General features: G+C 42.4%; 1 protein-coding gene across 5 annotated transcripts in view, besides 1 other annotated feature; it reads left to right on the top strand.

Annotated features, from left to right (window-relative positions):
• ADAM12 (ADAM metallopeptidase domain 12) overlaps positions 1-14493 on the top strand; it is a 376087-nt gene that overhangs the window by 210917 nt on the left and 150677 nt on the right. The window lies entirely within an intron of this gene.
• Positions 2438-2961: an enhancer, noted in NCBI's record as "H3K4me1 hESC enhancer chr10:127863169-127863692 (GRCh37/hg19 assembly coordinates)". NCBI's record gives its function as "activates a minimal SCP1, AML or CMV promoter by ChIP-STARR-seq in naive H9 embryonic stem cells {active_cell/tissue: H9 hESC(naive)}" and the evidence as "EXISTENCE:reporter gene assay evidence [ECO:0000049][PMID:30033119]".

The raw sequence follows: 14493 nt of genomic DNA, 5'->3' as shown, positions 1-14493 counted from the left end.
AACCTTGAAACTGATTCTGGAGTCAGACTGATTTAGGTCCCAGTCTGGTATCTCTAATTTATTAGCTGTGTGGTCTTAAGCTATGTAATCTCTTTGTGTCTTAGTTGTCTGTTCCACAAAATGGTCAGATTCATGAGACCTTCTAAGTCTTTTTAAGTACTAAATGAGAGAGTGCTTATTAAATATTAGCATGACACATAGGGGTTCCATAAACGGTGGCCGTCATCATTATTCTGTAATTATCAGTGTTTCACATCTCACTGGCATCAAATCTCCTGTTTCTCATCTCATTGCTTTTTTTTTTTCCATTTACAATCTAATGTTATCTTCTATTTTCCTCCTGGTAAAGTAATTGTCCATTTTTCTTAGTCTTTTCTTGACAACCTGGCCTCTCCTTTCATAAAAGGCTCTAATAAGCATTTCCTATAGCACACCTGCAGCCATGTACAGCCATAAATGAATAATACCAAGTGTATTATGACCAGGAAACCGTGTGTGTGTGCGTGTGTGTGTGTGTGCACATGTGCACACACACATACACTTTGGCACACTCCTGCTTAAAAAGGTGACCCAATGACAGATTCACTATGGCTGTATACAAACAGGGCAGCTCTTTTTCAAATGAAGGGAGCCCTTTTCTGAAAGTTCAGGAGTCCCAGTTGCCAATTTCTCTCCATGCTTTTTCTCTCTCTCAGGCTTCGGCAGTAAACCCTTAGAGGGAAGCTCCTGCAGTCCCCAGACATCACGTGGAAGAGTCACCTGACATTTAACCACACACGTCTCCACGCTTTGGGAGACAATGAGAGATTTTGTTCAGAGCCGTTAGGAATTAAGTTTTTATTTGAATTTATTTTTTAAGGTCATTATTTTTAGGCTAAAAGAGTATCATATTTTAGTTACACTGTTGCTTCCTATGCCACTGAAACAAAAGAATTGTATTACTCTGTGAAATACAAATAATATGGGATGTACTTGATTTAACTATTTACGTATTCTGAGCACAAGATAGACTATGCCCTAGATGAGTGATTCAGAGTTCTTGCAATGGCAATGTCTTGCCATTTCTGGTTTTATATTTCCTCTCCTCGAAATGTGTCTTAAATTTCACCTAGTGTCTTTATTTAAAATGACGGTAAACTCTATTTCATATCACCTATAAATGAATACCCTAGGAGGCCTCATGATAACGCATCCCACCCTGAAGGATCCCAAAGCCAGCATTTTGAATCATGGCCTTGGCCGAGAGCAGTGTTTACCCTCTTGGTGAGCTGTGAGCTCTTTGAGCCAAAGGCCGCAGGACCAGAGAAGGCCTTGAACGCATGTTAATTCATGGTATGTTTTCCATCAGAGTCCCTGAGAATATTCTTTACTTGGGATCGTTCTGCAGTTGTTATGTGTGCTCAGTAACTTCCCGGAACTCAGTGCCTGATCTCTTTTGTTTTATTAGCCTCCTGGTTCTCTGACCCCCTGAGGATCGCAGTGACCTGACTCTCTTGGAACAGATCTTTCTCTGTGGTGTGCAGGGTGAGGGCGAGGCAGCCTTTCTTTATGCTGAGCTAGCACACACACAATGTTGATTTCCATCACACAGCTTCAGGGAGAGACCTTACGAGACCCATATTTCCAAAAGAGGGGAACAGCAGATCACACCTGCCTCTGGGGCTTAAATGCTGACTGGGCTCTCTTGCATGAGGCTTGAACCCCCAGGGAAGTCCAGAGTGGTAAGGGAGAGCCTTTCCCCTCCTTCCAAGAGCAGCTTGCAGGGCAGCCACCGGCTGGGCTTGTTTTGCAAAGTGCAGTGGAAGCCCCTGCTCTTCTGGGCATTCCGATGGAACGAGCAGACTCTTTCCCAACTGCCCCCAGCACGACACTTACGTGGCACCCACATCACATCACGTCCCTCTCTCGCCACTCGAATGAAACGACTAGGTTATGCTTCAGAACTCCTTGTACCATTCCTCGATTGTTTTTGATGAGAGAAAAAAATGTAGGGCATGTATAGGCAGTTTCCAAAGCAAGTCATGTACACAGAAAAAGGAAAATCGACTTGATGCTGTGTTTTTTGGCACTCACCACTGACTGTTTTAGAAACATATGTTTAAAATAAAACCTGTAGAAGTCTCGTCTTGGTGTTCCAATGGTTTTGCCTGTTTTGAGTTTTATTTTCCGAGCAATTGTTATTGTTATGAGTAAATAATAATAATATTTTGTAAGGTTGCCCCGCCAGCAGGCAGGCCATTGTGGAGGTGAGTTGCAACTCCTGGCACCTGGCTGTGTGGCCCAGTGGCCTCCACGCACACTGGTCTTCCGGTGCTGTGTGTTTCTCTCGGCAGCGTTCTTCGCTTATTTGTAAATACACCACCTCCTCGTGTGTGCTGTGCTGTTCAGCTTGGCTGCAGGTCCTTGTGAAGCCATTGTTTCTGGCTCTTCTCGCAGGATTCTGGCTCTGAAGGTGGTCCCAAGGAAATAGCAGACAAACTCAAAATTGTTTTAATAAAAATGGGTGGCCGGGCGCGGTGGCTCATGCCTGTAATCCCAGCACTTTGGGAGGCCGAGGTGGACGGATCACGAGGTCAGGAGATCGAGACCATCCTGGCTAACACAGTGAAACCCCGTCCCTACTAAAAATGCAAACAAAAAATTAGCCGGGCGTGGTGGCAGGTGCCTGTAGTCCCAGCTACTCGGGAGGCTGAGGCAGGAGAATGGCGTGAACCCGGAAGGCGGAGCTTGCAGTGAGCCGAGATCAAGCCACTGCACTCCAGCCTGGGTGACAGAGTGAGACTCAGTCTCAAAAAAAAAAAAAGGGGGGGTGAGGACTGTGGTCCTCAAATATGTCATTATCATAGGAGATAAAAGCAGTGGAAATGTCTCATTCCAAGAGACTAAGGGTAGTGAGTATAGGGTAAAGGGCACGGGGAGATGGAATATCCTAAAATCATCTTGTGGTAGATGGTGGCACCACCCTGAATAGGGTAAAAAACATGCAATTGTACATCTTCAGTGTGCCAGTTGTCTGGTACGGGAATAGTGTCTTAAAGTTGTTAATAAAAATATAGGGAAAATGGACACGACACCCTAATGCAAGCCCCGGCCCTGAACTCGGCCTGGGAGGAGGAAAGACATGCCGCAAAGCTCACAGCTGGGTCAGGGACAGCCTTGAGTGTGGCTGAGAAGCGAGGAACTGCCTGGATGTGACATTTGCCGACTTGGATAGCCGGGCCATGATGCGTAGGAGAATATCTGCTTATAGGAAATATGCAATGAAGTATTTGGTGGGAAAGGGCCATGGTGTATATCACTTATCCTCAGATGGTTTAGCAAAAACACTCTGTGTGTTTGTAAAGATTGGGAGGTGGGCAGTGGGGGGAAGGGGGAGGAGGGGAACAACGTATAAAGCAAATGGAATAAAATATCGTCCCAGCTACTCAGGAGGCTGAGGCAGGAGAATGGCTTGAAACCGGGAGGCGGGAGGTTGCAGTGAGCCAAGATCACTCCAGCCTGGTGACAGAGTGAGACTCTATCTCAAAAAAAAAAAAAAAAAAAAAAAAAAAATCAACAACAGATGAATCTGGATAAAAGGTGTATAGGCATATATATGTTGTTTGTATGATTTTTATTTTTGCAATTTTTCTGTAAGTTTGAAATTATTTCCAAATATTAATGCTCTTTAAAAAAAAATGCCCATTCCTAGCCCCCAGACCCCTGCGATGCTGACTCCCTTGGCCTGAGGTGGTTTCTGACACCAAGGTCCCAGACCGGCCTGAGAAATTCTCTGGAGTTGGGGCCTCTGGTCTCGGGGCCCCAGGCAGACTCTGCTATACTCCTCAGGAAGATTTTCCAAACCACAAAAGAGACTGAATTAGCATTGTGATTTTTCACACTTTTGTTCCTCCATTGACTTTAAAACTTGCGCTCTGAAACTTAAAAAAAAAATCTATATTCAAAAGAAGAGGAAATAGTATATTAATCCCTCCTACATACCAGCAGTTCTCAACTGAGGGTGATTTTGCCCCACAGAGGACAGTTGGCTGTGTCTGGGGACAGTTTTGGTTGGGAGAGAGTTACCGGCATCTTGGGGGTGGAGGCCAGGGATATTGCTAAACACCCTCCATTACACAGGACAGCCCCCCAGCACAGAATCATCTGCACCGATTGTCAGCTGAGCTGAGGTTGAGAAGCCCAGATTCAGCCGGTGTTAAGATTCGCCGCGTTTGCTGTTTCTGTGGTTCTCCCCTTTCTGAGGTCACCTCAAACAGACTTCATGCCATTGCTCCTCTTAACACTTCAATTTGTGTTTTTATTATTATTATACTTTAAGTTCTGGGGTACATGTGCAGAACGTGCAGGTTCGTTACATAGGTATACACGTGCCATGGTGGTTTGCTGCACCCATCAACTCATCATCTACATTAGGTATTTATCCTAATGCTATCCCTCCCCTAGCCTCCCACCCTGTGACAGGCCCCAGTGTGTGATGTTCACCTCCCTATGTCCATGTGTTCTCATTGTTCAACTCCCACTTATGAGTGAGAACATGTGGTGTGGGTTTTCTGTTCTTGTGTTAGTTTGCTAAGAATGATGGTTTCTAGCTTCATCCATGTCCCCACAAAGGACATGAGCTCAACCTTTTTTATGGCTGCATAGTATTCCATGGTGTATATGTGCCACATTTTCTTTATCCAGTCTATCATTGATGGGCATTTGGGTTGGTTCCAAGTCTTTGCTATTGTGAACAATGCTGCAGTAAACATACGTGTGCATGTGTCTTTATAGTAGAATGATTTATAATCCTTTGGGTATATACCCAGTAATGGGATTGCTGGGTCAAATGGCATTTCTGGTTCTAGATCCTTGAGGAATCGCCACACTTTTCTTCTACAATGGTTGAACTAATTTACACTCCCACCAACAGTGTAAAAGCATTCCTATTTCTCCACATCCTCTCCAGCATCTGTTGTTTCCTGACTTTTTAATGATTGCCATTCTAACTGGCATGAGATGGTATCTCATCATGGTTTTGATTTGCATTTCTCTAATGATCAGTGATGATGAGCTTTTTTTTGTATGTTTGTTGGCAACATAAATGTCTTCTTTTGAGAAATATCTGTTCATATCCTTCGCCCACTTTTTGATGGGGTTGTTTTTTTCTTGTAAATTTTAAAATAACACACCGTGCCATTGTTACACCCAAGAAAATTAGTAATGATTCCTCAGGACCCTCTAATAACCAGAGTCTGAAGTTCCAGGTCAAACAATGCTCTGACCCATTGAGAACTGAAATGTGATTGTTTAATTTTGGAAATCTCAGCCTTTATGGGAAAGATAAAGAACAGTAACTCCACATTTTATCTACTTTCTGGTTGGATCCATTGCCTCAGTCTTTGAGTGTACAGGAGTGCACTTAATACATAATTGTTTTCTGACCCCAAGAAGTGTTGATTAATTCAGTAAGTTTGGAGATCATAATAGTATTTTTTAAAATGAAACTTTTAGGAGGGATTACTGAGGCTGATCATTATAAATTACATCTTTTAGTCATTAAATTGGGCCTCCCTCCTCCTCAACGTATTAGCTATTTTTTTCCCCAGACACATGGAAAGCTTTCAGCTTCTAATGAAGAACTCCTTTCTGGAGCATGTTTCTAGAATATGAGTTTAGCAGCACACATGATGTCATCCTAATTCCCAACTTTGCGTGCAAGATTGTTGTGTGAAAATGAAACCATAAATCCCATCTGAATTCTACTTGCTGGGTCCTTTTACAGGAAGTATTCTTCTGTTTTCCTTTTCTAAAGAAACCACAACAGTGTCATCTGAGTAACAGATCCACGACTGGGAAGCCAGAAATACTGGAAGCATGTTCATCTTTTTCTGGCCAAAGCCCATCCAGAGAAGTGAAGTCATGTTTTGGGATGGGTGCATTGAGTAGGTATCTGGTTTTGTCCCATACGCAAGACACCGTGGAGACTTAGCGGTGAACAAGCCACAAGGAAAAGGTGCTAACTCTAGCCTAGTGCTGTAAGATTGCTTGTTGCCTAATGCCAGCAGCTTTTTAAAAATGCAATCCAAGTAAGTAATACGTTAGAATGCCTGGACAGCAAATGAACTCTAAAGATTTCATAAATGTAATGAATTACTGCTTCAATCAAATATGAACCAACTAACCACCCCTGCCACGGTTTTTTAAGTAATTTTACAATTTGAGACCATGATGCTTATTAAAGATCTCTATTTTTCATGACCCAGGGTAATATTTTGTCGTGTATTGCATTACTTAATTAAATCAACAAGGTAATTCATAAGAATTACCCTGCCTAGCCGAAGCATAATGAAAGCCGCCTAAAATATTCCCAACCATCATTCTGACTAAACTATTTAAGCGCTTATGGAAAATTAGCTGTTAGAATTAGCCAAACTCTTTTGTAACCTAGGAGGCTGGAATTGAATAAGAAATTAAGGCACTGGGGAAAATGTCAATTTACCCTTGGAGAGTCCATATGGAGGAAGCAAATAGTTCAAAGGCCCAGCTGTAAGAATATTGATTGGTGTGGCCTTTATCCTGGAGAGAAATCCATCAATGAATGGCCCACTGTCACTGACATCTGTCCTTTGGTTCTTCTCTAGGGTTCTCGACAGCATTAGATCTTAATGTAAAATGCTCCCAGTTTTGTATTGTTTTGTTTTGTTTTTTGAAGCCCAGTTGCTGATCAGATAGTAAATCAACTAAGCACTTGGAGAATCGTTACTGGGAAACAGAAATATTCAGCATGGGTATTACAAGTACTTCTTGTTGTAGTTTCTTTAAAACAAAGAAAACAGAAGACTACTTCATATAAAGAACCCAACAGCGAGAATTCAGATGGGATTAATGGTTTTATTTTACAATTTTATATTTTACAATCCTTCCTTGTCCCAGACACGGTGCTTTTCTAACAGCTCTGTTGCAGGCAGTGGTGTCTGCATGGGGCTGGCACAACCCATGGCTTTTTTTGGATCCTCCTGACTCAGCCTAGGGGATTGGAGCAGGCAAACTCAGTGGGCCTTCGCAGAAAAGAGGGTGTGCTTTAACTGATTATGCCTCTGTACACCTGGGTTCACACACAGGGACTCCCCCCCCGCCCTCTTTTTTTTTTTAAAGGAAAAACACATCCATTTCAAAATCCAGGCACATTTCATGGTAGCCTCAGCAAGAGGAATTGAACTGCTCCGTGGGCCAATTTAGAACACTTCAGAAAGTGAAGGTCCTCTTCGCCGCCCCGGATCCCTGCTGGTGTCTGTCTCCTGGCCACGATGGTATGGAAATTTGCAGAGCATGACCCTCTCTGAGCAAGCAGAGAGGAGCAAATTTGATCTAACACACATTCTACGGGTTTGGTTCAATGTAGGTCAATTTTTAAGAGAGCTCAGCTGGCCAGTCTGCAAGTCTGCCAGGGAGCTGGCTGGCTGGCTGGCTTCCGCCACGGCCAAGAAAATCCCCTTCTGCCTCAAAGCACCAATTAATACAAGTTCTTCACCGAGCTGGGTGGGTAAAGGAAACAGGCTGAAATGCATCCAGCTTTCTGTGAAACCACTTACAAGGTCATCAGCCCCGATATCTTGCAGGACCCCCTGCTTTGGGCTAGGCGGAAGATGCCAATCTACATCAGAAGACTCTGAGATACCAGCTGGTGTGAGGAGGGGACACGCATACACCAGGTCATTTTATTTTTAAAGTGTAAAGCTGTGTGTCCAAGGAGTCAAAGGTATTTGGTTCAATGGTTCCAAATAAGTCGGCTGAACTTTTTTTTAATTCTGGAAGTTAAGGAAATGCCATTTGAAGATGTATCTTGTAAAGTATATTTTCTATTCTACCTTATGAACTAAAAAACAGATATATTTTAGGTGGTAGAACTTCTAAGGATCAACGTGTCTTTTACCAGTCAGTGTTTTGTGGGATTGGGTGGTGTTGGTGGTTTTATTTTATTTTATTTTTTTTAGAGTAGAAAGAAGTCCTCATATCCTAAAATAGCAGCAAGTCAATAATGATTCTATTATGTATGAGTGCTTTTGCCATATTTTTCTCATTCTCAGTTATTCCATTCATTCTACAAGTGTTTATTGAGCATCTACTAAGTTCCAGACATTAATGTAAGGGCTGGGGAGGGACCCAGACAGACTCTGCCCTAATGGGGGAAACATACCTCAAATGACAGAGCAAATAAATGAGAAATGGCACTATGTGCTCAAGGAACAGGGCAGAACCTTGCGAGAGCAGCGAACAAGGAGAACCGCATTTAGGAAGGGGCAGGCAGGGAAGATTGCTGCAGATACTGTCATTTTGGATGGGGGTTACTAAGAGTTGGCGAGGCAGAGAAAGTGGGAAGAATGTTCCAGACCAAGATAAGAAGGGTGGTGGACTTGGGAAACCAAAGGGAGGCCACAGAGCCTAAGTGGGATGAATTGAGCAGGTAGAGGGGGTGGGCCTGGTCCACACTAAGGAATGTGTTTTTTGCTTTTTGGGTTTTTTTTCGAGACGGAGTCCCACTCTGTGGCCCAGGCTGGAGTGCACTGGTGCGATCTCGGCTCACTACAATCTCTGCCTCTCGGATTCACACAAATCTCCTGCCTCAGCTTCCTGAGTAGCTGGGATTACAGGCACGTGCCACCATACCCGGCTAATTTTTGTATTGTTAGTAGAGATGGAGTTTCACCATGTTGGCCAGGCTGGTCTCGAACTCCTGACCTCAAGTGATCCGCCCGCCTCAGCCTCCCAAAGTGCTAGGATTCCCGTGTGAGCCACCGCGCCTGGCCGTGCGCTAAGGAATTAGAATTCTGCTCTGGGTTCTGTAAGGAGCAGTGCAGTGTTTTAAGTGGAGAAGTGACATGATCCGTTTTCGTTTTAAAAACTTCACACTGGCTGGTGTATGAAAAACAGACCTAAATGTTTCAAGAGTGAAAACAGGAGTCTGGCTAATCTATTATGGAAGGTTAGGTGAGGGGAAATGGTGGCTGGGACCGGAGAAATGGTAGGTGAGACGAATGGAAGCCAGCGGACTTATTAATAATAATAATTGCTTCCATTTGCTGAGTACATAATATGGGTTCGGCATGTTTATCATCTATAGCATATATTAACTTCCCATATAGTGTCCCTGTGAGGCAGGCACTATCATTCTCATTTTATATGAGGAAACTCCAGCATGAGGTCGGATTTCATATTCAAAGTCATAAAAGAAGAAAATGGCAGAATGAGATTTGTTCTTCCACTGTTGCTATACTACTGCTAGAGATATATTTTGAAGGTAGTTTGGTCTTCTTGTCCACATTTTATTACTGAGAAATGTATCAGCCCAAACATTCTGCAGATACTGACTGAAAGTCTTTCGGATCCAGGAACTGGCCTCAGAAGTGAGTAAGAAAGACCCCATCAGTTAGCCCAGCTGAAAAGGCACCTCTCTCCACTTGAATATTTTTGTACATGAGGTTCAGTTAATCAGTTAGGTAAATACATTCCTTAAAATAATCAACCAAGAATTTTCTGGGACAGGAAGGGAGAAAGGTATGCTTTCCTATCCAACATGCATGTGACCAAGGGCTGGGTGTAAGATATGTTAGCATGTGACAACCCAAGCCCATTGCCGCTGTAAGAGTGTGTGGCCTTGAACACATTTCTTAACACTTCTGAGCCTCAATTCCTATATCTATAAAATGGCCATATACCAACTCATAGTGTCATTATAAAGATTTAAAGACTCACCAGTTGTCACGTGTCCTCCCACATCATAGACCATGTGGATGCTTAATGAGCAGTGGCTAATAAATACCACTTGCAGTCCAGGGCAAGAAGGGCAATTAGAAAATGAATTCGAGGTTCACTTTGCTTCTAGTCTATAGACTATTTGCGGGTGGTATGTGGCACTAATGAATAAATATAAATGAGTTTGATCGTTCACTCGCATTATTGAATATTTCATGCACCTTTACGCATGGAATAGTATGAACTGATACACATAAAATGACTAAGGTGATTATTCTCCACACTAGAGGCAAACAGAATCCTGATTTATGCAGTTCCTCGTTGTTCCTTTCAGTTTTGACCCATGGCAATAAGTGGGAAATAGATTCACCCAACTCACTCCAAATTCTTTATAATTTCTTTCAAAGACAGAGATTGCTACATTAAGTATAGTTGTCCCTTTAAAGGAATATGGGCAGAAAAGGCAAAAGTCAGATTAAGGGGAAATAGAAGTTGTATAAGTATAGCAATAAGAGCTCTGAAGTCAAAATGCCTACACAGTGCCAGCTGTGTGACCCCGGCAAAGTTGCCTAACCTCTCTTTGCCTCCAGTGTCTCATATACAAATAAGTACCTACCTGCCAAAATTGTTGTAAAAGTTAAATTTAAAAATACACGTAAAGTGCCTTTGCTTAGGAGGAGCTCAAATGAACGTTAGTGACTGATGCTACTTAGTGACTGATGCTGTTGCTACTGTTACAGCCAACTCTTGTTTTCTGAAAGGAAGAAGGAAAATTTTGAAGTTTAAGAGAAATGACTGTTTTACCTGTGTTGGTAGAAACGTTTGAAGAATGCAACGTAAGCTGACCTACTAAATCTACCCTTGCGATTCATTCTGAGAGAAGTGGGCGTGGGGCTTTACTGTCAGTGGAAGTAATCGTTTATCAGGTTTACAACTTTTCCCCTGTATCTGAGGCCCTATTTTTTTGTTCTTAAAATTGTGCTACTGAAACTTGATAGATCTTATACTAGGAAGGCAATCATGACACATTAAAAACAGCCTGAGGCCGGGCATGATGGCTCATGCCTTTGGGAGGTCGAGGCGGGCGGATCACAAGGTCAAGAGATGGAGACCATCCTGGCCAATATGGTGAAACCCCATCTCTACTAAAAATACAAAAATTACCTGGGTGTGGTGGCACATGCCTGTAGTCTCAGCTACGCGGGAGGCTGGGGCAGGAGAATCACTTAAACCGGGAGGTGGAGGTTGCAGTGAGCCGAGATCTCGCGCCACTGCACTCCAGCCTGGTGATAAAACGAGACTCCGTCTCAAAAAAAACAAAAAACAAAAAAAAAGAAACCTGCCTGAAATGGTATGTAAGTCCTCATCCAAGACTTGCAAACTGTATCTAGTCATTTGAAAGGGGAGAAAACAGCCCAAAGCCTTAAGACTGAGTCTCATGCCAGCTGGAGAGCTGCAAAGGTGGAAACCCATCAGTTTCCACCTGCTCATACATTTCAGCCAGTGGACAAGTCAGCCCTCCTGTTCTTATAGAGACCTCCACTGAGTCTGCAGCAGTCCAAAAGGCTGTCTGTGAACTCTTCGCTCATGAACAGATAGGCTCATCTGAACAGTCCCAAAAGACAATCATAACAGCATGTCTCAGTGTGTCACATGATTGGACCCAAAATTCTGTGTATTTGTGACTTATAGTGAAGCAGTATATTAAGAAGTTATTTTGCAGGAAACTTTGTTGTCCCCTACAGCTTCCAAAATGCTGTATCAGCAGTTTTATTTAATATAGTTTGTGAAACTAAATGAGAAAGAGCTGGGCAAAGGAAGCTTTTTTTATTCCAGGGGAAAACAAAAGTTGTTTTGATCATTTTGAATCTTTTAGTAAATGGAGAATAACAAAAGAAAAATGGAATGTACGTGCTCCATTGTTCTTACAGATGTACAGTTTAAATAGTTAGGATCCCAAAATACTGAAATTATATCCAAAAATAATTTGGATTTTGTAACAAAATTGAATTGCGTGTGAAGAGAAATAGCGTAGCACCGTTTTCAAGTGTCTCTTCCAACATGGAGGAAAAAATATTTCAGAAAAATACGGAATTTGGTTTGTTGCTGCTTATTTTTCAGACCGTCAGAACCATATGCTGATGCTGCTTCCTGGGAAGGCAGTGTCCACCAGTGGTTAGGAACAGGTGGTCTTTGGAGCTAAATAGAGTCAAGTTTAGTCTCCAGGGCTCAGCTGTGTGGCTTTGGACAAGTCACTTAACCTCTCTGAGTGCTTCCTCTTCCTTATCAAGCAGGCAATTACAGTCCTTACCCTGCAGAGTCTCTTTCAAGATAAAGTAAGGAAGTGCGTATCAAAAGCGAATGCCCCCGGCTGGGCACCGTGGCTCACGCCTGTAATCCCAGCACTTTGGGAGGCTGAGATAGGTGTCAGGAGTTCAAGACCAGTCTGGCCAACATGGCGAAACCCCATCTGTACTAAAACTACGGAAAATTAACCAGGCGTAATGGTGTGTGCCTGTAATCCCAGCTACTCAGGAGGCTGAGGCAGGAGAATTGCCTGAGCTTGGGAGGTAGATGTCGCAGTGAGCCGGGATCGCACCACTGCACTCCAGCCTGGGTGACAGAGAGAGACTCAGTCTCAAAAAAAAAAGTGAATGCCCCAAGGCCTGACACCCTGTGAGCAAACAATGAACAGGGGCAGGAGGAAGATGGCAAGATGATGAGGGCAAGGCATTGAGGGTGGTGGCCGCGATGCTTTGCTTTCATTCTTTAAGATGAGAACCCAGACCATGAGTTCTTTACCAGGCTGTGATAACTTGTGCCATAAAAAAGAAGCATAAATATTTGCAAAGACAAGGTTCTGAAAGAAGTTTGAGCAAAGTTGAGATGTGAGAAATACCAGATGTCTTCGATACTTCTTTTTCATTTTTCTCCTCTTATTTTATACCTCAGTATACTGGTTTTACAGAGAATCTTTCAACTGTCTGATCTTTTCATAAAATAGTCCAGAAAAGCCAATGATAGCAGCATGAAGATCTTCATGATTCCAGCTAGTCTAGAGTTTCTGCTGAAAACCAGAGTGAGTGTTTTCAGAGGATGCAGGGTCCGGTCTGGGTGCATACCGTTTGCCTTCCAGATCTTTTCTCTATATTTATTTACCTGTGATTGTGGAATGGACAGTTTTCATTAAAGGATATCATTTTAGTAACTTGGAAAATCCTGATCATGATTTTTAATTATGATCTTTATTCGGTGCTATGTTTTGTTAAAGCTCTTGGCCCTTAGTCCCACATATGAAAGTATTTGTAGCTGTATTTCCACATTCTAATAAAAGAAATCCATTACCCAAATTTACATATGAATGATTTTGTAATTTGTGGAATGATGACATGATAAAGTAAATCTTCAGCAAAAAACTCGGTTGGATGCTTTGTTCGAATACCAAATGGATCCACCAGGAAGAAGAAATCACTGAAGCCTACATTGCCTGGCATGATTTAATTGCAAAGAGTATCTATACTGCCTGCTGGTGTTAATTGACAAACAAGAACTGTCTTGTGACACTTTGGCATGGCATGAATATGCTGTACAGAATAATTAAACCCTCCAACAATACGTATGGTCTTCAAAGAAATAATAGGAAAAAGTTGACATGTCATCAATGAGTTTTTTCATATTCTAAGTAATTGATGCCAATCTCTTACTTTTCTTTCCCTGTTTCCCTCATTTAAGCAGTTTGAAATTGATAACATGTTGTCAGCATTGAACTGGATGACCGGAGAACATTCAGAATTCTTGAAATAATGAAGGAATGAATGAGATTGTCCCCACCCCATACCCCCTGTATGATCAGTGTAAGCAATTTGAAGCATATTTCTTTTATTTTTAATTGATCCAACTAGTTCTGACACATTCTATCCAGATTGGGTTGCGTTTCTATGATAATGATTCAGTTTCTCATTCGTTTATTTATGAAGCACTTCTTCTATGCTAGGCATTGTGCTAGGTTTAGAGGTGTTGTTTCTGCTTTTTAGCTCAACCCAGTGTGGGAGGAAGACAAGTAAACAAGAAATAAGGCCGAATAGGGAAAGTCTTGTTACAGAATCCTGGCAGAACACAAGAGAAAGGCTGATTCACTTCTGGGGCCGGGGGGTTTCTTTCAGCTCTCCCATGCTTTGGAGTGTAACATATGTTATCTTAATGAAATCCATCTCATTCAAACTGTGTAACTAAATTATATAAGGGTAAAGTTAAAGTTGGATAATTTCAATATTGATCTGAAAGCAATTTGGAGGTCATTCATGTTTTGAGTCAATACTCAAATCATTTCAGAAATGCAGGACATTTTATCAGGAAGAACTTTACCTACATGGTAATATTTTCATGCAAATTCTAAATACTCGTTTTCAGCCAGTATGTCCAAAGATTTTGAAATCAGAAAATACAGTACTCGGCCAAAAAGGATGGGAGTCTACTTGTCCTCTCTAAATGAGGGTGGACACCATGTGTCTCCAAACCGTAGGAGTCACCTGCTCCCATGACGTGTCCAAGAAAGAGAACAGCTCTCAGCACTGAGCATGGCTGGATTAGGACATTCTTGCGTTGCTATGAAGAAATACCTGAGACTTGGTAATTTACAAAGAAAAAAGGTTTCATTGGCTCACGGTTCTGCAGGCTTTACAGGAAGCATAGCATCGGCATCTGCTCAGCTTCTGGGGAAGCCTCAGAAAGCTTGCAGTCATGGTGGAAGGTGCAGTG

Source organism: Homo sapiens, chromosome 10 (assembly GCF_000001405.40).
Source record: "Homo sapiens chromosome 10, GRCh38.p14 Primary Assembly".
NCBI lineage: Eukaryota > Metazoa > Chordata > Mammalia > Primates > Hominidae > Homo > Homo sapiens.
The sequence above is the reverse complement of the archived record's forward strand: the minus strand, read 5'-3'. Positions and strand labels throughout refer to the sequence as shown.